This window comes from Homo sapiens, chromosome 6, assembly GCF_000001405.40.
Source record: "Homo sapiens chromosome 6, GRCh38.p14 Primary Assembly".
NCBI lineage: Eukaryota > Metazoa > Chordata > Mammalia > Primates > Hominidae > Homo > Homo sapiens.
This window is the reverse complement of record NC_000006.12, coordinates 109,444,062-109,471,680: the sequence shown is the minus strand read 5'-3', so window position 1 is coordinate 109,471,680 and position 27,619 is coordinate 109,444,062. Positions and strand designations below refer to the sequence as shown.

Below are 27,619 nucleotides of genomic sequence, written 5' to 3'. Positions count from 1 at the left end.
GCTGGGAACAAGTCAAGGGAATTAGCCCAGGTCACAGAGAAGCCTGGTGAGTGACCTCTGACCCCACAGCACAGTCCCACCCCGCCAGTGTCCCTGTTCCTGGATGGTGTTCCATAAACACTGATTCTGCCCTGAGGGTTCCTACTCACAGGTAGATGGCCCTGTCAGGGAACAAATGATAAAGTTCAGTAAGTCACAGTTCTGTTCACAGCCTCATTGTGGCTTGAAGTTGAAGCTTCCCAAATCTCTTCAACTGTGTGTTGAGACCATCCATTAACGTTGAGACCTGGGGGTCTTCCCATCTTCCTGAGACCTGGGGGCCCCTCACCATAACATGCCCTTACAGAGTCTACGTGCCATCTACTATGAAACAGTATGGCGTGGTCAGAGCCACAGCAGAGGTGTGAACACAGGACAGGAAACAGCTGAGAAGACCATATAGGAATGCCAAGTACACAGGTGTCAAACCATGCTATCCACAGTTATCATGGACATGTGTCCCTTTTTTGCCAAGATTGGCAAGTACATGAGGAAATGCACATCTTTATTTATTGTTGGTGGGAATATAATTTGGGAACCCCCTGGAAGGAACTTTTGCAATACTTACCAAAACATAAACTGCACAATTGTGAAAAGATGTTTGCCTAAGGATATTCATCATAGGCAGCATTGTTTATAACTTAACAAGCTTAACAGCCACCTGAATGTCCCAGGAGGGGATTAGATAGGTAAATTTGGGGCAGTACACACAATGGTACACAGCACAGGGTTTTAAAATGGTGGTGTGGCTTTACTGATGTGACAAACGGCATGCATTGGATGACCTCACACAGTAAGACCGCAAATAAACAGATTTGTCTGTAAAGATATTCGCCATTGTTAACTGGTTGTCTCAAGAGATGAGAATAGTGGAGCAGTTTTAATATTCTTTGTATTTTCAATATTTGATTCTTTTACAATGAACACAGTAATTTTTTAAGAAAAACAAAGCCGTGGTCCACAGTGGGAGGCAGGATGCTGAGGGGTCCACACGGACGGAACTGGACTGCCAGGTGAATGTGACAGCTGAGGGAATGGGAGGTGTCACTGTGATTGTTGTGCCTGGCTGGACAGGGGCTGGGTGATGTTGTCATTAACATGTCATGCCCCATGTTATTCTGGGTTTCAGCAGGTGGGCATGGGAAATCCAGCTGTGATGCCAATAAGCAGTGACTCATCGATCCTATCTGGAGTGGGGTCCGGGATTTAAGTCACTGGGGAAGGGTAGGGGTGGGATCGGTGGAGTAACTGCTGAGAAGAGGATCTGGAAGTACACCCTGGAGCTGTTTCAGTACTTCCGTTGACATCACCCTGGGTGGGTGGGATTGGTGTAGTAACTGCTGAGAAGAGGGTCTGGAAGTACACCCTGGAGCTGTTTCAGTACTTCTGTTGACATCACCCTGGGTGGAACCTTTCATCACACTCCTGTCTCTGCCTTTTCCTTTAATCGCTATTGTCTAATCCTCTTGTAACACACTTCTTTCCGGTCCCCATGCCTCTCAGGCCCTGTCCTATTACCTTATCCTTCTCCGTCTGCCTCCTGCCACCTCCTGGTCCAGGCCTTGTGCATAGCCTGTTAGAGGTCCTCCTGCCTCTAGCCCACCCTCCTCATCATTCCCAGGTGTATTTTCTTAGTACTTTCAGCATGTCATTCTGCTAAAAACTTCCAGAGGCTCCACAGGTCCCCTGCCTGGATTTCATAGCTCCTGTTGCCTTGGCCTCCTGACTCCTGACAGTGATCCTTGGTCACTGGTGCACACCGTGTAGTCATTTCTGACACCAGCTTCTGCTCATACTATTTAGACTAGTACCCTGGCCCAGGCTTCTTTCCAGTCTAGCCAGATCCTGCCCACCCCATCCAGCACCCTGTCTGCACTCAGAATTGTTGACGCCACTCGTTTTAATGTTCAGTGAAACACAGCCCTATGTTACTTAATTAGTTTGTGCATCTCCTCAAGTAGATTAGAAAAGTTTCTTTTTTGTTTCTTAGCTGTGTACTTTATTGATGGTCTATCAGTGTTTGAGAACTAAATAAATTTAAGGAATGGGTGTCTCCATTGAAGGTGGTAGAGCTGTGCACAGGGGAACAGATCAGAAACCACTAAGCGGGAAGACCCCCTGCAGATTGACCTTGGCTAGGGAAATTTGCCTTCCCACTGTCCTGCTCACTCCCTCAAAGAGCTTCCACTGCAGGATGTTGCTCCTGCAAACACTTACCCTCAAAAAACATTTGCCATCAGACAGACTTTCTGAAATAGAAACTCAGCTGGAGCTGAATGGTATAGTTAATGTTGTTATGGATGATTGTTGCTGTTCTTTCTCTTAAAAACCTGAAAACTGCAACAAGAATTTTACAATCACAAGCAAACAGCAGGTACTCAGTCTTTGAATCTGGAGAGGGAGAAAACCAACCAAGATCAGAGAAGGCCCCAGCTCTGATGTAGAAAGCTATAGACAGATTATGGCAGTTGCCTGGTTTTAATCTTTGTAGTGGTAAGAGTTCATGATGCAAAGATGCAGATTCATCCGAGTTGTTACAGCTGTCCTCTGCCTCGATGGAGCTTGGAGAAATGTCTTGCCTGAATTTTCCAGTAGATGCTGTGAAAGGGAAGCTCACTGACCATCTTCCATTTCAAATTGTACTTATCCTTTGCTGTTCTCCTGTTCTCCAGTTAAGTGGATTTTGCTGCTTGCTTTTTTTTTTTTTTTCTTTTTTTCCAATTTAGTTTTCTTGCCTGCATTGGATTACTTAATTTTGTTTCTGGGGAACATGAACAGTCTGTCATTGTATGTTCAGCATGCAAACACACTGAATAAGCACTTGCTGATGTTAGTGAAGCCTGGTGGGTTCTGGAGCAGTTATAGCATCTCAGGTGTGCCACTCCCATGAAGTTCATTCAGCAGGGATTTCTGAAATGGCATGCCAGGCCAGATTCTCGGCACTGGGGTACTAGGAGCAGACATACCCACAAGTTATCTTAAAAAGGAAGAAATGGATAATAAATAACTTATACATTATATGAGGCAGCAATAGCATTGTGGAAAAACTAAATTGGAGAATTGGACTAAGGAGTGCGTGGCAAGGTTTGTAGTGCTCTTGGTGGTGATGGAGCCTCACTGATAAAATAACATGTGAACAGAGACTTGAAGGAGATGAGGAGAGTGAACCATGCTGGGAGACACCCTGAGATGAGATCCGGGAAGTTTGGGGTGAGGAGTAGGGTTTATGGGGTACAGATCTATGATCGCTTGTAGGGCAAGAACTTTGGGTTTTATCCTGGGGTGGGAAATCATCAGAACATTTGCAGCCCAAGCATAAAATGACCTGACTGCATCAAGGCTCACTCTGGTGGCCATATTGATAGTTTATGGCAGGGAAGCAAGAGCAGAAATGGAGACCCCATAAGAGGCAAGAGATGGTGGTGGTGTGGACAAGAGAGTGGCAGTGGAGGTACTGAGCAGTGGTCAGATTCTGGATATATTTGGAAGGTTGATATAAACATGAATAATACATAACTCACCCTAGCACACAGGAGTCCTTTCAGGGTCAAGTGGGCTACCTAGCCAAGCAATAAGGCAGGAGAGCATAGGTGCTGTAATATCTAAGGGGAGAAAACAGGAGTAAATACAGTGTAACTCACTTCCTTGTTGCAGTTTTCAGGTTTTTAAGAGAACCATGCCTTACGATTTCTGTGTATGCTCTTGGCACTCGGCACACAGTGCTTAGGTTAGTTACAGAGTAGATATTTGGTGAGTGCATCATTCGTTTACGCTTACGGAGGGGATTGCCTTTGTTCTGTTTATATTGTGAAACCGAAGTGTTTTTTTAATTTTGTCTTATTCTGAATGTATATTGTTAAATGTTTTTTTGTTTTGGGTTTTTTGTTTTTGTTTTTGTTTTTTTTAGGTGAGAAGCCATTTACTTGTGAAATCTGTGGCAAATCTTTCACAGCAAAGAGTTCTCTTCAGACCCACATCAGAATCCATCGGTAAAGTTTTGCAGATATTTTTCTCGCATGGAGGCCTCATTCAGTTCTGCTGTTCAGTGAGGTGACATGTGTTACCTATATAGTTTTCTCCCAGTTGTTACTTTGCAGAATTTTGTGTGCAGTTTATTACTTTGGCTTTGTTTTGTTTGTTTGTTTTGAGACAGGGTCTCACTGTCGCCCAGGCTGGAGTGCAGTGGTGTGAGTGGAGTGCAGGTGGGAGTTCAGGCGATTCTCCCACCGTGGCCTCCTGAGTAACTGGGATACCACACCCAGCTAGTTTTTGTATTTTTTTGGTAGAGACGGGATTTCACCATGTTGACCAGGCTGGTCTCAGACTCCTGACCTCAAGTGATCCGCCTGCCTGGGCCTCCCAAAGTGTTGGGATTACAGGTGTGAGCCACCACACCTGGCCTATTTTGTTTTATCTTTTCAATAATGAAATTCCTCACCTAGGTAAAAAGGAATGCTGATTCTGGCCAGTAAAAGTTTACATTACTGATTTCATTTATTAAATTTTGATTGGGGCTACGGATTGGTCCAAAGCTTAAATCTTCAATCAAAAATAAGTATTAAATTTGATGTTTTCTGAATAAATGTTTTTGTTTACACAGTTATCCCCAGGTTGGACTTAGGAGTTCTTCTGACAGCATCACAAATAATTAGAGGATGCTTAAATTTTTTAAATTGACATTAATCATAGATACTTATTGGGCCATTAGAGTCTAAAAATTGGCTCTGAAAACTAAGACAAAACAAAAGAGAACTATATGTTTATTGTATAAATATTTACTCTCTTTTCTTATCTGAAATACATACTGTGGAATCATAAAATTTTATCATATATAGCCGTGCCCCATCTGCCACCCTTCCTCAGGCACCACCCACACCCTATTTTCAGATTAAAAACTGCCCATGGAAGCGAGACTTGCTTCAAGTCCTTGAATTAGTAGGTGAACCCATGACTTATGACTTGCAGTCTAGTTAATTTTCCACTACTCTTGATTGCTTCCCCCTAAATAATCAGGAAGTAGTAAGTAGGTATTTCCATTTTAAAAATAAAATGTTTATTTTCTTACAGAGGAGAAAAGCCATACTCCTGTGGCATTTGTGGCAAATCCTTCTCTGACTCCAGTGCCAAAAGGAGACACTGCATTCTACACACTGGCAAGAAGCCTTTCTCCTGCCCTGAGTGTAACTTACAGTTTGCTCGCTTAGACAACTTGAAGGCTCACTTGAAAATTCATAGCAAGGAGAAGCATGCTTCAGATGCCAGCAGCATTTCTGGCAGTAGTAATACAGAAGAGGTCAGGAATATTCTTCAGCTACAGCCATATCAACTCTCTACCTCGGGAGAGCAGGAAATTCAGCTTCTCGTAACCGATTCTGTACATAACATCAATTTCATGCCCGGTCCTAGCCAGGGAATCAGCATTGTGACTGCAGAGAGTTCCCAAAACATGACTGCAGACCAGGCTGCTAATCTTACCCTGCTCACGCAGCAGCCAGAGCAACTGCAGAATTTAATTCTTTCAGCTCAACAGGAGCAAACAGAACACATTCAGAGCCTCAATATGATTGAAAGCCAGATGGGGCCCTCACAAACAGAGCCAGTGCACGTGATCACTCTGTCCAAGGAAACACTGGAACATCTTCATGCCCATCAAGAGCAAACAGAGGAGCTCCATTTAGCTACAAGTACTTCAGATCCAGCTCAGCACCTGCAGCTGACACAGGAGCCTGGTCCGCCACCACCCACTCACCACGTGCCCCAGCCAACGCCACTTGGCCAGGAGCAGAGCTGACCTGTAAACACGTTTGACTGCTTGATTGGGCTCTTCTTATAAGCCAGCTCTGACTGGATTTTGAACGCTTGAAATCAGGCTCTCCACACCATTGACTTGCAGATGCTTCTGTGAGAGCTGTGATGGCTAACTGATGTTTATAATGCCCTCCATCCAGGTAGCAAGATGTGTGTATGTCTTGTCTAAGGTACTGATTTGTATTGAGCATTTCAATATTATTGAATGGTTTTCATTTTAATCTGCAATGTCTCATAAAGACTCGGGTAGTTTTTCTTTGGGGGCATTGATCTCAGTTTTTCTGTAAGGTTTAAATGTTCACAGCCATAGGTTATGGTCTTGCCAACCTCCCCAGTTATGTTTTTTTGTTTTCTAGGACAAAGGGAGTCATTTTGGTTGAACTGGGCAGAATGGTTTGTTCTATTTTCTTATTTTTCTTAGGCAACACAGTTGTTACCACAAGACAAGTCAGGGCTAAATATGACAGATCACAATGTATGGGGAATTTGCCCTTTTAATAATTTCCAGTCCCCTAAGACAAAGTAACCCTCAACGTTTTATCTTTATGCAGTACAGTGGGCTTATTGTGTTAACACTTCAGAAAGATTCAAACTCATAAACTCAGTATTTTAACTCAAAATTCATGTAACAAGATAGCCAAAAGCATAGGATTTCTTAAAATTCTGAATTCGTCTTTTCTGAGAAACATAAATTTACATATTTTTCAACAGAAGGCTATCAAAATTTTAATTAAGTTTAAAATACAAAATTGGATCAAGACATTCACCCTAAATTCTGAATTTTTGTCAGAAAAGAGATTTGATTTTCATGAAGGTAAAGCTTTCTTCACTATTCTGGAACATAAAACTTTATTCAGTGTAATTTAAGTCTTATATATACTCTACTGAATTCTAACTGATCTCCTGAAAATGTTGATCTACGTGTTGTGTCTGATAACTTTCTGGAGATGGAAGCTTATAATTCATTTTTATTGCAGACTAGTTAAATCCCACAAAGTGAATATCTTCTCCTAATCTTTCCTTTTTTAGAGACAGGGTCTCACTGTATCACCCAGGCCAGAGTGTAGTGGCACAATCATTGCTCACTGTAACCTCGAATTCCTGGGCTCAAGCAACCCTCCCACCTTAGCCTCCCTAGTAGCTGGGACTACAGGGATGTACCACCACACCCAGCTAATCTTCATCTAATCTTAAAACTTTGAGCCTCAGAGACTTTGTAGCCAGCATGTGTCTGTAATTGTATGATTTTTAAATCATCATCAAAAGATTAAATTATGTTTGGGTTAGGTTTTCAAGCTAAGCTTATTGAATTCTTTTACCACTTTCATGTAAGCTGGTAGGGGATTTTTGAGAAAAGAAGGTGGGCACTAGTATATCTAAATTAACAATGCTGATGGGGAGTAGGGGGTAATCTACTCTAAAATTAATAGAGCCTTTCCATCAATTGTTTTGTTTTAGACATCCTTGATTTCTCCCTAAATCAAATAAGTTATTTGGAGGTTAGAGTAATAGAGAATTCTTCAGGTTTGAGAGAAGATAAAAACATTTTGGTTGCATATTTGCTAAGCTATATTTTATTATATGTAATTCACAAAACTTCCAAAATGATATATATCTTATATGTATCAACCAAACTAATGTTAAATCAGGCCTGACTAGAGCAAAGATAACAATTTTTTACAAACACTGTTAAGCCCTAAGTATTATTTCAGGTTCTCGTTTAAACTGTTTAATTTTATTCTTAAAACACAAAGTTTTTACCAACTTTTCAAAGCCCACCAATCCACATTTTCTCCAGGAAATTAAATATTTAAGTAAGTGAGTGTTTACTCACTCTGGATAGCTAGGTGATTATTCAGAAAATACGGTTACATAGCTATTTATAAGTCAAGTTTCACTGGCTCTATAACAGTCTACCTCTACACTAAGAGAACTATAACATGAACAACATAGGTCACTTTAAATGTTCTAGTAGCAACTTTTAAAAACATAAAAAGAAGCAGGTGAAAATGTTAATAAAAGTTTATTTAATCCAACATTTGCCAAATATTTCAACATATAAAAATATATTAGTGAGACATTTTACATTCTCTTTTTCATACTAAGCTTTCGAAATCTGGTGTGTATTTTACACTTTCTGCACATCTCCATTTGGATGCTAATGTTCATTGGACATACTTGATCTGTATTTAGATTTCATACAACTTACAGTTGAAAACAGATTCTCATATCAAGTAGCTAAGACAAAAGTTTTTTTCAAGAATTGAAATAAGTATCAGTTTAAAAATTTATATTAAATTTATTAAAATTAAAATCCAGTTCCTTGTTGCATGGGACACAGTGCAAATGCTTGATAAGCACATGTGGCTAGTGGCTGCTATATTGGACAGCATGGGCCACCTGTTTCTAACTTGAGCATCAGTCCTAGCTATGCCTGAATTATTTGACCAGCTGTCAAAGAGAAACAAGGAAATGATAGCTTTGTTAATCTAGCCTCTTTCTTTGTCCCACATATACATTCTACCCCTTTGAATAAAAAAGTTCAATGACGCCGGGCGTGGAGGCTCATGCCTGTAATCCCAGCACTTTGGGAGGCCAAGGTGGGCGGATCACGAGGTCAGGAGTTCGAGGGCAGCCTGACCAACATAGTGAAACCCCATCTCTACTAAAAATACAAAAATTAGCTGGGCGTGGTGGTGTACCCCTGTAATCCCAGCTACTCGGGAGGCTGAGACAGGAGAATCACTTGAACCCAGGAGGCGGAGGCTGCAGTGAGCTGAGATCACGCCATTGCACTCAAGCCTGGCGACAGAGCGAGACTCCGTCTCAAAAAAAAAAGTTAAATGACTTGAGTACCCAAAAGAAATGTCGTGAACATGAAAGTACTTCTCATGTGTCCTTGAGAAATGATGTTGCTAGTGCAGTGTTTCACAATTCATTTTCTACTAAATGTGTACCATTTTTTAAATTGTTTTAACAGAAATATAGAGTGTGTTTCTTAGGAAATAGAATGTTATGCTTTGGGGCTCCTGAAACACCTCGTTTTGAAGGTGAATCTTTGGTTTTCTCCCAGAAGAGGGTCTGCCTTGGGATGATTGGAGCTCTTACCATCAAAATCAGTTATTCAAGTGCTTGCCCAGTGCTTCTTGAAACTCACCTCTACTCTGTATTTTCTACAGTTGGTTCTTGTGTTATAAATGTTGTGAGCAACAGATTAAATGATGCTGAGGAATGAAAAAAGATTCTCATTATAAATGCTTACCTAGGATTCTCATTATAGATGCTTATCTAGGTTTTCATAAATGGGAATGTAACAATATCTTCCAAATATGGAGTCCTTACTATTGTCCAGGAGCCAAGCCAGGTCTGTTAAATCTGTATCATATCTTACTGGGTCTCAAACATCTTCCATGTCATGGCACACAGATTTACAATATAGCACCCTCTGGTTGGAGGACTCCAGTCCCCTCTGTTCATGACTGGTATATTAGTTTGCCATGACTACCATAACAAATACCACAGACTGGGTGACTGAAAAAATAGAAAGTCCAAGATCAACGTGTCAGTGGGGTTGGTTTCTTCTGAGGCCTCCCTTCTAGTTGTCTTCCCCTGCCTGTATCTTCACATGTCCTTCCCTCTGTCTTACTCTCTTTTAAGAACACCAGTTGTATGGGATCAGCCCACATTAATGTCCTCATTTAATCATCTTTTCAAATACAATCCCATTCTGAGATGCTGGGTATTAGGACATCAACATGTGAATTTGGAGTAGGGGGACACAATTTACCTCCTAACAACTGGCATCTGAGTGAGGAGGGGAGCAGTGTCTGGGACACACCTTAACCACTGGAAGCATGTCTCATCTTAATCTTCATGACATTCTGGTGAGGTGAGTAATTATTATGCTTATTGGACAGATGAGAACATGGAGCCCAAAGAGAAAGTCTGTTGCCAAATGTCATACAGTAAGTGGTAGAACCAGAACTAGGGCACAGGCTTTTAAAACTTTAAGCTGGATTTCTTATTCCCAAGGTTAATAGAACCAAAAGAAAAGGACAATTTTCTTATTAAATAAGTAATTTCTTATTTATTATTAAATACATAATTTATTTCCCACTTATTAAGTTCTTATTAAAAATTACATATTTAATAAGAACTTACTAATTAAAGAATGTGACCTGCTTAATGTAATAGAAGTTTTTGACTAAAATTGAGGGTCTATGTCTGGAATTATAGCATACTTTTTTCTTTTTTTAAGTGGAGACAGGGTCTCACTATATTGCCCAGGCTGGCCTCAAACTCCTGGCCTCAAGCAGTCCTCCCACCTTGGCCTCCTAAAGTGCTGGGATTACAAGCATGTGCCACCTGCATACAATTATAACTTTTTTACATAAAACAATAGTAGTGAAAGTTACGGTCTACAGAAATTCAGTAACTACCATATAATCATGTTAGTGTTTCACTACTATTGATTTAAAGCTTAATTGGTAAGAAAATGTGGCACATATACACCATGGAATACTATGCAGCCATAAAAAAGGATGGATGAGTTCATGTCCTTTGCAGGGACATGGATGAAACTGGAAATCATCATTCTCAGCAAACTAACACAGGAACAGAAAACCAAACACCACATGTTCTCACTCATAGATGGGAATTGAACAATGAGAACACTTGGACACAAGGCAGGGAACATCACATACCAGGGCCTGTCATAGGGTGGGGGGCTGGGGGAGGGATAGGATTATGAGAAATACCTAATGTAAATGACAAGTTGATGGGTGCAGCATACCAGCATGGCACATGTATACCTATGTAACCTGCATGTTGTGCACATGTACCCTAGAACTTAAAGTATAATTTAAAAAAAAGCTTAATCGAAATTTGCCAGTTGGATGAAAGTTACTGGTAAGGTGAAAATGTCTTAGTTAACAGGAGCCTCTGTAAGTGAGCCCTTTTTTCAAATTTTTGACTGAGGATATTTTAAGTTTAGGGTAGGTTTGTTTTATTTTTGTTATCCTTAATAAGCATTAAGGTAAAATTTCATTTTCAGTTTCTAAACTTAAGCCTAAACTCTTAAGAATTGAAAGAAAACTCTTTGTTTTGCTTTTGTAAATAGCAGATAAAGAGGAATGACCTGTGAAAAATCTGCTTGCCTTGCCTTTTGTAAATAGCAGCTCTCAAGGAGTGACCTCTAAAAGAAGCTGGAATGTTGTGATAGTTTATCCTGCTCTCAAATCCTTTACACATAATTAAGCAGCAAAAGACTTTAGCTTACTGGAGTGTGTGTGTGTGTGTGTGTGTGTGTGTATTTATATATATATTTCATTCTAACTTGAAACATGGGACATCAACAGCTTTTAAACTAAAGCTCATTCGATTACATTTCTTTTTTTTTTTTTTTTTTTACGTAGGGTCTTGCTCTGTCACAGGCTGAAGTGCAGTGGCATGATCATGGCTCACTACAGCCTCTTAGCCTCCTGAGTACCTGGGACCACAGGCATGCACCACCACCACACTCAGCTAATTTTTAGATTTTTTTTTAGAGACAAGGTCTCACTACGTTACCCAGGCTGGTCTCAAACTCCTGAGCTCAAGTGATCCTCCCACCTCAGCCTCCCAGAGTGCTGGGATTATAGACACAAGCCACTGTACTCAGCCCACATTCTCAGTAATACAAAATGTAGGAATTTAAACACATTTTGGTAACAGCAAGGGATCTTAGCTTTTTTATGAGTCTGAAAAGTGGTACTATATTCAGTGTGAAGTGTGAAAAAAGGAAAAAATTTGAGCAGGGGTCAGGATAGAGAACTTTTATTCTGAATTCATAATATCCATAATATGTCACTTTAAATATAATTCAAAGATGATTTTCCAAAAGAATAGTTTGGGTATTGGTTTTAGTTCATTCATATGACTATCCTTGTTAAATGAAAAGTCAAACTGAAGCTTCCTTAGACTAAATCAGAGTTAAAAACAAAACTACATTTTAAAAATCCACCTGTCAAGATAATTTTAGTTTGGTTAATTAAGTGGCTTCTGGATAAATGTTTCTTATAATCTTAGTGTTTGAAGGGCAAAGGCAGTCTTATTACAAAAATATGGGCAAGTATTTAACTGATCCTGAACCTATTTATGTGTTTAATCTTTGCAGCCTCTCAAGGTAGAGTCCTTGTGTTATCTCAGAATCTATGAAATCATAATTGTGCTTTGACTTCTGGGGAAGGTATTGAGTAAAAAGCAGCATACAGAGGAATAAGGTGGGAAGGAAAAATAGGAAAGAATGGGGGCCCCAAGTTTGTGATTTACCCACTCCAAGCCAAGAGACAAAGCTGGGTGTCATTCTTGAAGGGGCCCACCTGACCCCCACACCCAATTCATGGCCATGTTATGTCAGTTTCACCTTGAAATATCTTTTGACTCCATCCACTTCTCCCATCCTCACTATACCATGTCACTTGCCTGTACTCCTGACAAAGACCTGATTGATCCTTTCTACCACCTCCTGCTGGGCTTTCTCCACTGGAAGTGGTGATCTGTTTGGGCTCACCATTGTACCCTTAGCTTAGCATCAAACAGAGTGCCTTGCTGAATGAATGGATTTGCATTAGTTATTAAGATAAATATGACCGTGTCTCTGCTCTGCTTAAAATCCTTCTACAGAGTTTCCATTGGCCTTTAGAATAAAATCTCCAACTTCCTCTTGGGACCCTCTTCCCCATTCTCATTTCGTCACGTGGTTCCTTGGTGTTCCCCAAACATACCCAGCTCTTTCCTGCCTGAAGGCTTTGTGGCAGGTGGTTTCTCAGCCTTGAAAGTTGTCTGCCCCCACTCTGATTCATGAGTACTCATCTGTCCTCTAACCTCAATCAAACCATGTTGTCACATCCTCTCATGGCACTCTCTACACCTTTGGCGCAGATGTCACTTTTTAAATCATGGGCTCTGTCTCTGGCTATACTGCAGCCACAGCTTCCCGGCCCAGGACCATGGGTTTGTTGCTTGAAGATACTGGCCTGCAGGTACAAAGCCATATTACAGGTGACTTAAACATGCCACCTACAGTACTAGGGACCCAGTTTCTGGGCCCAGGAGATAAGAAATTGGGAGGTGACAGAACATGGTATGGGGCAGAGGAAGGAGGATCCTGTCGTAATGGCTCAGGTTTTAACCTAGGCTACTGCTAGGTTTTACCGTTTGCAAAAACATTAGAATGGGACTCCTTTTTTTCTTTTTTTGGACGGAGTTTCACCCTCGTTGCCCAGGCTGGAGTGCAATGGAACGATCTCAGCTTACCGCAACCTCCACCTCCCGAGTTCAAGCGATTCTCCTGCCTCAGCCTTCCTGAGTAGCTGGGATTACAGGCATGTGCCACCATGCCTGGCTAATTTTGTATTTTTCATAGAGTTGGGGTTTCTCCATGTTGCTCAGGCTGGTCTCGAACTCCCGACCTCAGGTGATCTGCCCGCCTCAGCCTCCCAAAGTGCTGGGATTACAGGCATGAGCCACTGTGCCCAGCCTTAGAATGGGACTCTTTAAACTGACTTCATGTGTCACCCACTTATTTGATCCAATATGAATTGGCCAATGTGATTGTGCCAGTATTTTTAGTTCTACATACACATAATTTGAATCATGACTCAAGATTCTAATTAAGGAGAGAAATTCTTGTGGTTAATAAATAGCTTTAATAGAGTTTTTTTTTTTTTTCTTGGAAGAAATTCTAAGTAGAACTTGGTTTGGGTCTTCTAGTCTGTTCATTTCTTAGGACAGCATTGAATGATAGGATTTTGGAGTAGAAATGGGCTGAGAAGGCTGAGTAATTAAACTGCCTCCATTTAGAGATGGGCAGACGAAGTGTGGTTGGTGACATCCAAGGTCACACTAGGCTAGCGTGAAGCAAAGCTGGAATCCAACCAGACCTTCTGGATTCCAGAACAATGTATTCCCTGCTGCTTTATGCCCCCATGTTAAGTATTTAATTAGCATAAGTTGAAACTTCAAGTCAGCAGTTTTTAGCACTGATGAACTCATTATTGTTCTCTGATCTTCTTTAAAGACAAATTTTATGATGTGTCATTCATAGAGCCACATGACCCTGCTTGGCAAAAGGCATTGAGTCAAGCCAGACCCCACTAAGCCTTTGCAAAGTGGAGCGGCTAGTTGTAGCCGCTGTAGTTGTAGTAAGTGGAGCGGCTAGTTGTGTACCATCTGCTAGTGAAAGGGAAATGAGATTATTCTAGAAGCCAGGGACTGTCTCGGGATCTCTTATGGTCTCTGGATCTCTTATGGTCTCTGGATCTCAAGGACAGCAACCCTCCTCTTTATTCCTCGGTTTTATTAGTGTTTCCAGCGTGACAGTTCACTTCCTCTAAACAAGACATAGCTTCGTATAATGCCAGCCTTTCACGCATCATTTTGAATCAACCCTGGGGTGGTGGAGCCCAGGGTAACCCAGCTGTAGTGGACTTTAGAACGTTTTTACACCATGTATTTAAATATGGGTGTGTCTGATATTCGGCAAATTCATTTCAAGCCAAATGACGTGTCACACTCAAAAGCTAGGATGGGCCCAACTGAGAGGCTGCCCTAGTTTTCTGAGCGTGACCTGGCTGAATTCCCTCGCCTCTCCTGGCAGAGAACAGGCATTTCCCCTTGCTTTCGTCCCACTGCCTGCTTCTCAGCTCGAGCTGGGAACAGTGAGTGTTCAGGTCTTACTGGGTCTCAGATATTTTCCAGATGAAATGCAAAATGAGAATAAAGGGAGAGGCCCTATTCCCTCCCAGCTCTTTATGGTCTCTGGATCTCAAGGACAGCAACCCTCTTATTTATACCTGGGTTTTATTAGTGCTTCCAGTGTAACAGTATCACTTCGTCTAAACAAGAAACAGCATCTTATAATGCCAGCCTTTCATGCGTCATTTTGGGTCAACCCTGGGGTGGTGGAGCCGACAGACCTGGGCCCCCAAACAGCTCTGCCACTTGCTGTGTGCAGATCACAGAACATCTGTGACTCAGTTTCCTTTTTGGTAAAATGGGACTGTTGCAAGCACTGATGTTGAGGTAATACTCATAGGATGACGGTCAATAAATGAGACGATGTTTTTTAATATTAACTAGCTAAAAGACTGGACGCGTCCCTTCACTTTAGGCGCTGTTCCTTATCGGGAATACGACGAAGCTGATCCCAAAGGCCTCTCCAGCCCTTTTCAGCAGACAGTCCCGTGGGTCCTCACTCTAAGGCATTCTTTGAAGACTTGGTCTCTCTTCCACACACCCCTCCCATTCCCCATCTCTTAGTGGTGGTCTAACCCGCCCCGCCATCCCCTTCCCTCTCACTTCTCATATCCATTTGGAAGCTGCAGATTGCTGAGTTTCCAGGACTTTAATCCGCGCCCTTTGCCCTCGGCCCGGGCTTAGGGGTCGACCTCTGTCACAGGAGGCGCACTCTGCGCTTGGATCCATCCTGGGGCGCCCGGGCCGTGGATCTCCAGGTGGGAGACCGGAGGAGAGCGCAGACGTTCCGGCGCCACCCTCGGACCCGCCGGCTTTTCCAAACCTCTTGAGGAGCCTGAGCGCCCTCTCGGCCCGGCGCTGGGAGGCTGCCAGCGGACCTGGGACCGCGGCGGGGGCGGGTGGTCCTCGCCTTGCGGCGGGGAAAGAGCTAGCCTTGCACGCGCAAGCACCGGCAAGGAGCCCAGGCCGAGGGTGCGCGGTCCAGCACTGGGCGCCCTGACCCTCGAGCTCCTCAGCCCCCAACAGGCCAGACCCACCCAGAGGCCCCAGAGCGGAACGGGGTGTCCGCAGCGCCACGCCCTCGGGCGCCACCCTGCAGGCATGGGCGGGCCCAAGACTGTCCCCGCTGGAGGCGGTAGAGGGATCCAGAAGTAATGAGATGCTAATGAGTCGCGAATAAAGCCCGGGCGGCGCCCCGCGCCCCTCGCGGAAGCCCACACTCCGCGCGACTCCAGGCGCACGCCCCGGGCCGCCCCGCATCCCAGCATCCCCGCCCGATCTCGGCGTTTCCGCCCCCGCCCCCGCCCCCGCCCTCCCACCCGCTCAGACCTGGTTGCCAGCCCAACAGGAAGCGGCCCCTCCCGGCTTCGGAGCCGCCGGTAAGTCGTCCAGCGGAGCCGGCTGCGAGCCCCGCGGCCGGGTGGGGTGAGGTGGGGTGCGCTTCCGGGGAAACGCAGCTGCGGTCGCTCGGGAACCACGCCTGGCAGGTCAGGCAGGTCTTCCCTCAGCCCAGCCCTGCTCACGCCGCGTCCGGACTTTGCCGTCCAGTGTCGGGGACCCCCACCGCTGCCGCCCGCGGTCCAGCTCCCTCTCCATCCTTTCAGACCGCTCCACCCCTCTCACAGCCTTTGTCCTGGCGTTTCCAGGCTGGGTCGCTCCTTTCTCCCCTTTCGCCGAGGTCTTCCTCCTTCCACCCTCCACCCCCAAGAAAGATCTTTGCCCTTCCGTCATGAGATTCCGTCTGCCCTCGTCCGGGCCACCCGCAGCGGGAGGCTTTCATCTCCTGTCTCGGCGCGGCGGGCTGGGAACGGAGGGGCAGCTGGATGGTGGAGGGGCCTGAGCCTCAGGGACCTGCCCCCACTGCTGCCATTCACCCTCCCTAACGCTGCCGTGGACACCCGCCTCCTCCATACCCTCTGATACCTTCTGGGCCCCGCGTGAGAAACCCCCTCGGGCACCCTTCAGGTGGCGTGGGAGGGGGCGACAAAGCGAGGCTTTGTCTCCGGAGATTCCTGGGAGAGCGCGCCCGGGCGCACAGGGGGCGGGGCGGGGTAGGGGTCGATCAGGGAGGGGGGAACCTGGGAGGGGCGCACCCGGCTGCGGTCGACCCCCAGCCCTACCCACGGCCCCCTGGAGTAGGGCACATTCACAGAGGAAGTGTTTTGACCACAGTGCGTCAGAAATAGACCCAGGCCTCCGTTCCCCAGTCAGTCGCAACATCCTCCCGCCGTTTGTTGAGGCAGTTTGGTGGAGGGAAGTGGAACCTACGCGGACAGAGGCTGTTTCTCTGTCAGGAGGCAAGCACGAGTGCTGAGGAAAACTTTGCCCTTGCCATGAGACACTTCTCAGACACAGCGTGGCACTGAGGCCATCAAGGGGCGCCGGCACAGGGACGCTTGGAGGGAGATGGGGCAGGATGTATGCTCAGCAGCTGGGGTTGTGGGTATCAGATCTGTCCCTGTGTTGCATGCAAAGGCAGCTCTGTCCTCTCCACATCTAAGAAATCCCCGCACACCCTGATTCCAAGGCCTAAGGAAGGCAGGCTAAGAATTCCTACCCCAGGGCTTGGAGATCCCTGGACAGGGAGGCTGAACTGGAGGCTCCCCTGGTGTCCCATGTGCCCTCTGTGCCCAAGACTAATGTTTTTCACTTCCAAATTTGGCAAATTTCACTTGGAGTGGACTGGATAGCAGCTGTCTCTGGAGCAGATGCTGGCAGGGGAATGGGCTGGGAGGAGCAGAGCCAATCACTGGTGAATCCCGAGCTCCCTGGGGACACCAGCCTGCTCTCTTCGCCTCCCCTTCCTTTTTATTTCTTCTGTTCTCCAGCCTCTTCCCCTTCTTTTTCCACCTCTCCAGCCACTCATCTCTGCCCAGCTGCTGCCCTCCCCAGGAGGCCTCCATGGCTTCACCTACCTCCACCAACCCAGCGCATGCCCACTTTGAGAGCTTCCTGCAGGCCCAGCTGTGCCAGGACGTGCTGAGCAGCTTCCAGGAGCTGTGTGGGGCCCTGGGGCTGGAACCCGGTGGGGGGCTGCCCCAGTACCACAAGATCAAGGACCAGCTCAACTACTGGAGCGCCAAGTCACTGTGGACCAAGCTGGACAAGCGAGCAGGCCAGCCTGTCTACCAGCAGGGCCGGGCCTGCACCAGCACCAAGGTGGATACACGGTGCCTGGGATGGGGTGTGGAGCATGCGGGGAGTCAGAGGACGGACAGGATGCCATGCCCTCACTGCCCTGTGTGTTCACAGTGCCTGGTGGTGGGTGCTGGACCTTGCGGGCTGCGGGTCGCTGTGGAGCTGGCGCTGCTGGGGGCCCGAGTGGTGCTGGTGGAAAAGCGCACCAAGTTCTCTCGCCACAACGTGCTCCACCTCTGGCCCTTCACCATCCACGACCTGCGGGCACTCGGTGCTAAGAAGTTCTACGGGCGCTTCTGCACCGGCACCCTGGACCACATCAGTGAGCACCACGTGGTGGCCTGGAGGGGCGGGTGAGCTTGGGCCTAGAGGCAGGCCAGTGGGGAAATGCTGGGACAGCCAAATGTCGAAGTGGACAAGATCCGTATCAGCCAGGTGACCTTGAAGATTCAGGTCCCCCATCTATAAGTGGGCTTTTGGGCTGAGTGATTGCTAAGGCCTTTTCCAGTCTGACCCTGACCAGGCACACACTGGTACATGGGGAGCTTGTGCTGCCCTAGGGTCCCTGTTCCTAATGTCCTCTCCCTTCCAGGCATCAGGCAGCTCCAGCTGCTTCTGCTGAAGGTAGCATTGCTGCTGGGGGTGGAAATTCACTGGGGTGTCACTTTCACTGGCCTCCAGCCCCCTCCTAGGAAGGGTAAGTATTTCTATGCTCCCTGGAATCTCCCCCTCCCCCATCAAGAACTTGGCCAGTGTCTGAAAAAGGATGGGCCAGGAGTGTCCTTTTCTGTTTTTGTTTTGAGACAGAGTCTCGTTCTGTCACCCAGGCTGGAGTGCAGTGGCATGATCTCGGCTCACTGCAACCTCTGCCACCCAGTTTCAAGTGATTCTCCTGCCTCAGCCTCCTGAGGAGCTGGGATTACAGGCATGTGCCACCATGCCCAGCTAATTTTTGTATTTTTTTAAGTAGAGACGGGGTTTCACTGTGTTGGCCAGGCTGGTCTCGAACTACTGACCTCAAGTGATCCACCCACCTCGGTCTCCCAAAGTGCTGGGATTACAGGCGTGACCCACCATGCCAGCCAGGAGTCTCCTTTTCTAATAGTGTGGCCTTGGGCAAGCCACTCTGAGCCTCAGATTGAGCATTTGCAAAACAAGAATAACACTTCCTTCCTCACCTGCCTTCCATAGCTGCTGTGAAGGTGTAATCTGATAGATAATATATCATTGCTTTCTAAACCAGAGAGTCCTTTACACGTTTTGATGATTTCACTGGTTTGTCCTGAGAGTATAGGGGCTCTTACGACTTCTACACCTTTGTGCCTCTCATACCCCCTGCCCTAGGGAGTGGCTGGCGTGCCCAGCTCCAACCCAACCCCCCTGCCCAGCTGGCCAACTATGAATTTGACGTCCTTATCTCGGCTGCAGGAGGTAAATTCGTCCCTGAAGGTGAGTGATCACTTCCCTCAAAGAAGCCAGCATCTCTGGCACATCCTGGGCCTTTCTAGATTGTTATAACCCCCTCCTCCTGCCATTGTTCACCTACCGCCACCTCTAGGCTTCAAAGTTCGAGAAATGCGAGGCAAACTGGCCATTGGCATCACAGCCAACTTTGTGAATGGACGCACCGTGGAGGAGACACAGGTGCCGGAGATCAGTGGTGTAGCCAGGATCTACAACCAGAGCTTCTTCCAGAGCCTTCTCAAAGCCACAGGTCAGGGACCCTCTTGCTGAATTTCCCCTCCCCCTGCCTGACTGTGGCCTGGCTCCTGCCTCTCCCTTCCAAACTTGTCCTCACTGCAAGGAACTCCACACTTTTCTGTTTTTTTGGTCTCAGCAGCAAAGGAGAAGGAACCTGTCCCCTCAGGGATTAAGCAAGCACAGCCCTAGTTGATCACCCAGCATGAAAAGTCCTGGAATCTCTCAGAGATGAACCTGTGTATGGGAGTTTTGCTTAAGTGGTACTTCAAGAAGGTGCCTCTGTTTACTTTGGTTTTGCACTGCCATGCGACCAGGTGGTGCAGGTCTCCCAAATGCCACCCCCCTCCAAGCTTCCCTCTTTGCTCTAAGTCCTCAGGCCTCCTGGGCCTGGGACAGATGGTTGTTTGTGTCATCAGGACTCGTGGGGTTCTATGCGTGGAGCACTCACCGCAGCCTAAGCTGGGATCCCAGCTCAGAGGTCAGGCCATGTTGGGATGTTTAGGGAAGGTGATGCATTATCAGGAGACATATCTACTGTCCCCTGCCCTGTACCCCCAGGCATTGATCTGGAGAACATTGTGTACTACAAGGACGACACCCACTACTTTGTGATGACAGCCAAGAAGCAGTGCCTGCTGCGGCTGGGGGTGCTGCGCCAGGTGAGGCCCAGTCCTGGCCAGGAGAGGCTGGGTGGTGAGCCCCGGGAGGCAGAGGCTAGGCTTGGACATAGTCGACACCTGGGTGTGGGGACCCCGTCCTCTCCTGCCTTTGTCCTGGCATTAACTTCACCTCTAAAAGTTCTCTTGGCCAGGCATGGTGGCTCATGCCTGTAATCCCAGCACTTTGGGAAGCCGAGGTGGGTGGATCACCTGAGGTCAGGAGTTCAAGACCAGCCTGGCCAACATGGTGAAACCCCGTCTCTACTAAAAGTACAAAAATTAGCTGGGCTTGTTGGCGGGCGCCTGTAATCCCAGCTACTAGGGAGGCTGAGGCAGGAGAATCATTTGAACCTGGGAGGCGGAAGTTGCAGTGAGCCAAGATTGTGCCACTGCACTCCAGCCTCGGCAACAAAGTGAAACTCTGTCTCAAAAAAAAAAAAAAAAAAAGTTCTCCCCTGGGATTTACAAGGCAGCAGGAATCATATTCTGGGCTAAACACCTTATACCAGCCACAGTAGATGTGTGTCAGCTCCATGAGGGCAGGCATTTCTGTCTCTTTGTCTGTTGCTTGCTGCTAATTGCCAGTACCTGGAACAGTGCCAAATACATAGTAAGCGCTCGGTATGTATTTGCTGAATGAATGAACTAGTTGAGTGCCTACCATGTGCTAGATACTGTGTTGAGAGTTAAATTTGCATCTCCCATCTAATTCTCATGAGTACCCTGATAAATTAGGCATGTTGTCTCTAAGTGATGGACAAACTAAAGCTCTTGAGTTTGTGGCAAGTATATGACAGTAATGATATGGGCAGAACAGAGCCTGGGACACCCAGCAGCAGGGTGAATGTTGAAGAAAGGGCTTTGAGAATTCCAGGCTGCTGGAATTCTAGTCCCAGCTCAGCCTTCAACTGCTGTGTAGTCTAGGGCAGCCCCTTCCTTCTCTGGGCCCCAGGATGTGCACCTTCTGCGCCCAAGGGGGTGGCACTGGCCCACTGACCCTGCTCTCAGAGGTCTCTGAGGTTCTGCTCTGTTGACCATACAGGACTGGCCAGACACCAATCGGCTGCTGGGCAGTGCCAATGTGGTGCCCGAGGCTCTGCAGCGCTTTACCCGGGCAGCTGCTGACTTTGCCACCCATGGCAAGCTCGGGAAACTAGAGTTTGCCCAGGATGCCCATGGGCAGCCTGATGTCTCTGCCTTTGACTTCACGAGCATGATGCGGGCAGAGAGTTCTGCTCGTGTGCAAGAGAAGCATGGCGCCCGCCTGCTGCTGGGACTGGTGGGGGACTGCCTGGTGGAGGTGAGGGGTTCAGGAGGCACAGGGGTTTCATGGTTAGGGGAGGGAGCTGCCTAGTATGGAGGAGGGGATAAAAAGGTCTGCCTGCAGAGGGGAGGAGCTAAGGGCTGCCTGGTGTGGGGATGGCCCCTTCTGCTGTGACCTGGGTGGATATCTGGGCTTGGGATGCACCTGTTGGATTCTCCCTGAGCTGCTTCCTATTCCTCTGACACTGCAGCCCTTCTGGCCCCTGGGCACTGGAGTGGCACGGGGCTTCCTGGCAGCCTTTGATGCAGCCTGGATGGTGAAGCGGTGGGCAGAGGGCGCTGAGTCCCTAGAGGTGTTGGCTGAGCGGTAAGACCTGAGTTGAGGAGGATGTGGGCAGGGCAGGACATGTGACAAGGTTCAGGAAGAGGGGCAGGGGTGCTGAGTGAATAGACGGAGGAATAGGCAGAAGAAAAGGCCTGGCAGTTCCTGAGAGGTGGGTGCTGACAGGTGCCCTCCCATTCATGCCCCTGCCCCTTACCCTCACCCCCTCAGTGAGAGCCTGTACCAGCTTCTGTCACAGACATCCCCAGAAAACATGCATCGCAATGTGGCCCAGTATGGGCTGGACCCAGCCACCCGCTACCCCAACCTGAACCTCCGGGCAGTGACCCCCAATCAGGTCAGACCCCCGACACACCCACCAGCCTTCCCAAGCCAACCCCCTTCCCCCAGGTCAGGCCCTCCCTGCCCAGTCGCTGCCCTTTGGGGTCAATCCTACCCCCGGCAGGCCCTTACCCCTGGACTCAGGGGCTGTGTGGCCAGCCTGCCTTGAGACCTGAGCGGGGCTGCCTTAGGTACGAGACCTGTATGATGTGCTAGCCAAGGAGCCTGTGCAGAGGAACAACGACAAGACAGATACAGGGATGCCAGCCACCGGTGAGCAGGCCTTCCTCCCAAGGGGTGACCAAAATATGTACTACCCAGCGAGGCCCAGGTGGTCCCTGCAAAGCAGCTGCAGCCTCAGGACAGGAGCAGCGTGCCGGAGCACTCATTGTTGGCTGGTGGGTTGGTTGGGGGCCTGCTGGAGGAACGGAGGGGCAGCACCGCACAGGCAGCAGTTGGCTGCCAGTCTGAATGTAAGCGCGTTAGTGTTTGAACCACCGTTACAGCCATAGTGGTGCTGGCAACCTCCCCTGCCCCCAGTTTAGTCTGCTGCCCTCTATGTGGCCAGTTGCGATTTCACTTTATTCACTCCTCTACTTTATTCCAAAGAGATTTTTTTTAAAAGAGAATTGGGATGGAGAGCTGCTGATAGTCAGCTTTAGGCTGGTGCCCTAGTAGAGGTGGGTCCCTGACTCCTCCTCCCCTACAGAACCCCCACATGCAGCAGCTGGGCTCCCTATATGCCTGGGATGGGCAGAGGGGGCCTTGGGCACAGCACAGCCTTCTTTCCCAGGGTCGGCAGGCACCCAGGAGGAGCTGCTACGCTGGTGCCAGGAGCAGACAGCTGGGTACCCGGGAGTCCACGTCTCCGATTTGTCTTCCTCCTGGGCTGATGGGCTAGCTCTGTGTGCCCTGGTGTACCGGCTGCAGCCTGGCCTGCTGTGAGTCCCTGGCAGACCCACCTCTCTCTCATGATCTCAGTGTAGGAGTTAGCATATCCAGTTGAATCCTAGAGACAGTGTGCTTCCCTGCATCTGCCGACAGTCTTGTGAGACTCTAATGCATTCAGATAGTGGAGAGCTTTGTGAATGGCACAGGCCCCCAAAGCCAGGAGTAGTGTCACTGGGTTGGGCACTGGGTAGCAGAGACTACACACCTACCTTCAAGCCTTCTTGTACCCCAGCTGCTGCTTGCTGTCCCTCCCCTCCTGCTGCCCTTCCTCCCCTCAGTGGGGCTAGGTTCTTGTCTCTAGTTGGCTTTTCTCCCTGACATCCCACAGGGAACCCTCAGAGCTGCAGGGGCTGGGAGCTCTGGAAGCAACTGCTTGGGCACTAAAGGTGGCAGAGAATGAGCTGGGCATCACACCGGTGGTGTCTGCACAGGCCGTGGTAGCAGGGAGTGACCCACTGGGCCTCATTGCCTACCTCAGCCACTTCCACAGTGCCTTCAAGAGCATGGCCCACAGCCCAGGTGACCTGAAGGAAAGGCGGGCAGGATAACTGGGATGGGGAGGTGTGTGTGTGTGTGTGTGTGTGTGTGACAGAGGGAGAAGGCGGTGTGTGTGTGTGTGTGTGTCAGAAAGAGGAAGAAGGCGCCCTCTGAGGGCCAGCCTGGGAGAGGTGTCCTTCTGGGTTGGAGAGTGACTGTCTGTTCTGAGAGTACAGTATTGGCACCCCCCATCCACACTGATGCCCTGGCTCTCCCCGCAGGCCCTGTCAGCCAGGCCTCCCCAGGGACCTCCAGTGCTGTATTATTCCTTAGTAAACTTCAGAGGACCCTGCAGCGATCCCGGGCCAAGGTGGAGAGTTTAGGCAGGGCTGGAGCTGAGCAGGGAGGAGTGGGCAGGGGGGTACCCAGTGGAGATCCTGGGGTGATGGTGAGGACATTCAGAAAGTGGGGAGGACTGGGACCTCAAAACATCACACTTAGAGCTGTTAGGACTTATTGCAGGAAAATGCAGAGGATGCTGGTGGCAAGAAGCTGCGCTTGGAGGTGAATGCAGGCAGGGGCGGGTCGGTCTCCTACCCCACATTTTATCCCCTTTCCTGGTACTGTCTTCCCTATTTCTCATCCCATGTCTTGTTCCCCACCCCAGGTCCTGTAACCCCCCCATCCAGCCTCCCTGCCTAGTCTCACTCCCCTTCCCTTCAGCCCCTTGTGTTCATCTGTACGCATCCCCTCCCAGCTGGCCCTGCCCCTCTACCCTCCCTGCCTGAGCACTTACCTCCTTAGATGGAGGCCGAGACCCCAAGTACTGAGGTGCCACCTGACCCAGAGCCTGGTGTACCCCTGACACCCCCATCCCAACACCAGGAGGTGAGAGCCAGGCTTTGTGTGCAGGCAGAGGCCCGGGGAGGGCAGGGCAGGGGCGTTTCATGGGAGGGAAAGAACTTTGGAGCTGGCCTTGGCTCCACCTGACCCTGTGTCCTGGGGGTCCACGCAGGCCGGTGCTGGGGACCTGTGTGCACTTTGTGGGGAACACCTCTATGTCCTGGAACGCCTCTGTGTCAACGGCCATTTCTTCCACCGGAGCTGCTTCCGCTGCCATACCTGTGAGGCCACACTGTGGCCAGGTGGCTACGAGCAGCACCCAGGAGATGGTGAGTGGGCCTGGGAGACCTCCAGAGAGACTCTGGGCCTGGCCCTGCTTGGGGGACACAGAGCTTGAGGTAGAGAGGCACAGGATGGAAACAGGCTCAAGATGGCACTTCGTTCTCCTGAGCTCAGGGTCTTCTCTGTCCCCTGCAAAGCTCCAGATGTGTGGTTCTGAGGAACAGGAGGCTGGCAGAAATTCACCTGCAAATCTGTCTTGTTTTCCCCACCTTCCTTCATAAACTGTTGCGTGTCTGGGCACTGGGCTGCCCACACCAAATGCCTCCTCCCCTCTCTACCCTTTCCAGGACATTTCTACTGCCTCCAGCACCTGCCCCAGACAGACCACAAAGCGGAAGGCAGCGATAGAGGCCCTGAGAGTCCGGTAAAGACTGAAGGCGTGTATGTATATTGGGGCATGGGAAGAGGAAGAGGGTCTCGTCAAACCAGCGCTTTGCTGGGGGTAACTGAATGTCGTCTTCTACTAGCATGTAAGCTCTGTGAAGGCAGGGATGCCTGTCTGCTTACACTTCTTGTTCTCTCAAGTATCTAAAACACAGCCAGACACTGTTTGTAAATGGTTTTAAGTGAATGAATGCCAAGGCTCACCTTTGCTCCGAAGGGGTGGCCTCACCCCCCGACCTCACTCCACATGGTGGCTTTTCCAGGAGCTCCCCACACCAAGTGAGAATAGCATGCCACCAGGCCTCTCAACTCCCACAGCCTCGCAGGAGGGGGCCGGTCCTGTTCCAGATCCCAGCCAGCCCACCCGTCGGCAGATCCGCCTCTCCAGCCCGGAGCGCCAGCGGTTGTCCTCCCTTAACCTTACCCCTGACCCGGAAATGGAGCCTCCACCCAAGCCTCCCCGCAGCTGCTCCGCCTTGGCCCGCCACGCCCTGGAGAGCAGCTTTGTGGGCTGGGGCCTGCCAGTCCAGAGCCCTCAAGGTAACCCATCCTCACAGATGTGCTGACCCAGGGTGGGACAGGGTGGGAGCACTGGCTTCCTGCAGAGGAATTCTGGGGAATACAGAGGGAAGTTGTGGGGATCCCAGGCCGTGGCAGCCTCTCCTCTGCTCCATTCTTCTCAGTTCCTCCCATGCCCCAACACATACATTCAGTCTTTACCAGACTTGCAGGGCCTCCGTCACCACCATGCTCTTTGTTGCCTGACTGGGGCAGGCGCTGGAGGCAGTAGAACGTCTCAGTTCTTCTTCTCAGCTCTTGTGGCCATGGAGAAGGAGGAAAAAGAGAGTCCCTTCTCCAGTGAAGAGGAAGAAGAAGATGTGCCTTTGGACTCAGATGTGGAACAGGTGAGTGGGCCAGCGTGCAGCCACAAAACGCTCTCCAGCCCACTACAGGAGAAACCTGCACTGGTCCACTGCACCCTTCTCTTGGAATGTCTTCTCACTTGGCCTGTCATATCTCTGGCCTCTACCTTTTCTACCAGAGCTTACCCCACTTCAGCACGGGTTATTTTCTGCCTTTCCAAACAACACTCCTATCCACCAGGGGGCCCAGGCCCTATCCCTGACTGGCCTGACCCTCCTATAGGCCCTGCAGACCTTTGCCAAGACCTCAGGCACCATGAATAACTACCCAACATGGCGTCGGACTCTGCTGCGCCGTGCGAAGGAGGAGGAGATGAAGAGGTTCTGCAAGGCCCAGGTGAAGCCCGGGGGTTCCCAAAATTCTGATGGGGTCAAAGTTCTGAGACTGAGATCAGAGTTCCTCCAGTGCTCTGTTCTTGAGCAACCTAGAGACTCCTGGATATTCTGTCTTGTACCCCTCAGACCATCCAACGGCGACTAAATGAGATTGAGGCTGCCTTGAGGGAGCTAGAGGCCGAGGGCGTGAAGCTGGAGCTGGCCTTGAGGCGCCAGAGCAGTGAGTGACAAGCTAGGACACCCCTCTGCCTTCTAGCACTGTGTTCAGCTCCACGCTCCAGCCCGTAGGAGTCCCAGTGGCTATGCCACACAGCTAACACATACCTGTGACACCCGGCTCTCCTGTCTCCCCTAAGCCTGTAACTCCTGTGGTGCTGGCTGGAAGCCTCCTGATCACCCTACCCATCTTCCTTCTTCTCAGGTTCCCCAGAACAGCAAAAGAAACTATGGGTAGGACAGCTGCTACAGCTCGTTGACAAGAAAAACAGCCTGGTGGCTGAGGAGGCCGAGCTCATGATCACGTAAGGGGAAGGGGATGGTGACAGTGGCCCATGGGCCAGGCTCCAGCCCCTTGGGCACCTTAGACAGCTCTGCTTCTACAATCCCTGACCTCCACAGGGTGCAGGAATTGAATCTGGAGGAGAAACAGTGGCAGCTGGACCAGGAGCTACGAGGCTACATGAACCGGGAAGGTAGGTGAAATGTGGGGAGAAGCAGACACATCCCAGGGATGTGTCATGCAAGCCTCATGATCTCAGATACTGACCAAGCAACATGATGCTCTAGTCTGTGTACCTCTGAGACAATTCAGGAGGAAGCCAGAGGAGGGGGCTCCAAAGCCCCTTCTCACTTCAGTTCAATCAGAGCTGCACAGTTGGCTTTTGTATAAGATCTCCTTCAAAAAAAATCGTGCTGCTCAGTAGTGCTAGAAAACCACTGGTGTTGGCAACCCTCCTAATTTGGCAGCTTAGGAAACAAAGCCCGGGTTATAGAAATCACATAGGCTGGGATTAGGTTGTGGCCCTCCTGCTTCCCTGCCCAGTTCCCTGTTCTCTAAGCTTTGTCTCCTCCTTTTAGAAAACCTAAAGACAGCTGCTGATCGGCAGGCTGAGGACCAGGTCCTGAGGAAGCTGGTGGATTTGGTCAACCAGAGAGATGCCCTCATCCGCTTCCAGGAGGAGCGCAGGCTCAGCGAGCTGGCCTTGGGGACAGGGGCCCAGGGCTAGACGAGGGTGGGCCGTCTGCTTTCGTTCCCACAAAGAAAGCACCTCACCCCAGCACAGTGCCACCCCTGTTCATCTGGGCTGCCTGGCAGAGAGCCTTGCTGTTTACAATTAAAATGTTTCTGCCACAAA

The 27,619-nt window shown here is 49.0% G+C and overlaps 2 protein-coding genes across 4 annotated transcripts in view, besides 7 other annotated features; both read left to right on the top strand.

The window, feature by feature from the left end:
- The window catches only part of ZBTB24 (zinc finger and BTB domain containing 24), a 20,626-nt gene extending 11,539 nt beyond the window's left edge, over positions 1-9,087 (top strand). The window contains exons 6-7 of the mRNA NM_014797.3: positions 3,947-4,028; positions 5,107-9,087. Coding sequence (NP_055612.2) covers positions 3,947-4,028; positions 5,107-5,830 — 806 coding nt within the window. The 3' untranslated portion in view covers positions 5,831-9,087. The remainder of the gene's footprint in view (positions 1-3,946; positions 4,029-5,106) is intronic.
- Positions 5,713-27,619, top strand: MICAL1 (microtubule associated monooxygenase, calponin and LIM domain containing 1). 3 transcript variants are annotated; one of them, NM_001286613.2, is made up of 25 exons: positions 5,713-6,017; positions 17,442-17,742; positions 17,836-18,043; positions 18,314-18,418; positions 19,066-19,170; positions 19,280-19,435; positions 19,981-20,081; positions 21,124-21,381; positions 21,596-21,711; positions 21,898-22,024; positions 22,200-22,281; positions 22,802-22,949; positions 23,288-23,478; positions 23,718-23,806; positions 23,959-24,000; positions 24,241-24,324; positions 24,452-24,608; positions 24,909-24,985; positions 25,269-25,545; positions 25,819-25,910; positions 26,152-26,265; positions 26,391-26,484; positions 26,686-26,785; positions 26,883-26,956; positions 27,342-27,619. In NM_001286613.2, the coding sequence occupies exons 1-25, from the start codon at positions 6,004-6,006 to the stop codon at positions 27,488-27,490; spliced, it is 3,261 nt and encodes a 1,086-aa protein (NP_001273542.1). In that variant the 5' UTR covers positions 5,713-6,003; the 3' UTR covers positions 27,491-27,619. The 3 variants fall into 3 exon arrangements, with proteins under 3 accessions (NP_001273542.1, NP_001152763.1, NP_073602.3); NM_022765.4 differs by lacking the exon at positions 5,713-6,017 and adding an exon at positions 15,909-15,962; NM_001159291.2 differs by lacking the exons at positions 5,713-6,017; positions 21,124-21,381 and adding an exon at positions 15,790-15,962.
- Positions 12,488-12,537: an enhancer, noted in NCBI's record as "active region_24928". NCBI's record gives its function as "activates an Ori minimal core promoter by ATAC-STARR-seq in GM12878 lymphoblastoid cells {active_cell/tissue: GM12878}" and the evidence as "EXISTENCE:reporter gene assay evidence [ECO:0000049][PMID:35858748]".
- Positions 15,288-16,137: a silencer, noted in NCBI's record as "silent region_17462". NCBI's record gives its function as "represses an Ori minimal core promoter by ATAC-STARR-seq in GM12878 lymphoblastoid cells {active_cell/tissue: GM12878}" and the evidence as "EXISTENCE:reporter gene assay evidence [ECO:0000049][PMID:35858748]".
- Positions 16,397-16,905: an enhancer, noted in NCBI's record as "H3K4me1 hESC enhancer chr6:109775979-109776487 (GRCh37/hg19 assembly coordinates)". NCBI's record gives its function as "activates a minimal SCP1, AML or CMV promoter by ChIP-STARR-seq in naive and primed H9 embryonic stem cells {active_cell/tissue: H9 hESC(naive and primed)}" and the evidence as "EXISTENCE:reporter gene assay evidence [ECO:0000049][PMID:30033119]".
- Positions 16,498-16,837: a silencer, noted in NCBI's record as "silent region_17461". NCBI's record gives its function as "represses an Ori minimal core promoter by ATAC-STARR-seq in GM12878 lymphoblastoid cells {active_cell/tissue: GM12878}" and the evidence as "EXISTENCE:reporter gene assay evidence [ECO:0000049][PMID:35858748]".
- Positions 16,988-17,037: an enhancer, noted in NCBI's record as "active region_24927". NCBI's record gives its function as "activates an Ori minimal core promoter by ATAC-STARR-seq in GM12878 lymphoblastoid cells {active_cell/tissue: GM12878}" and the evidence as "EXISTENCE:reporter gene assay evidence [ECO:0000049][PMID:35858748]".
- Positions 17,268-17,317: an enhancer, noted in NCBI's record as "active region_24926". NCBI's record gives its function as "activates an Ori minimal core promoter by ATAC-STARR-seq in GM12878 lymphoblastoid cells {active_cell/tissue: GM12878}" and the evidence as "EXISTENCE:reporter gene assay evidence [ECO:0000049][PMID:35858748]".
- Positions 23,626-23,675: a silencer, noted in NCBI's record as "silent region_17460". NCBI's record gives its function as "represses an Ori minimal core promoter by ATAC-STARR-seq in GM12878 lymphoblastoid cells {active_cell/tissue: GM12878}" and the evidence as "EXISTENCE:reporter gene assay evidence [ECO:0000049][PMID:35858748]".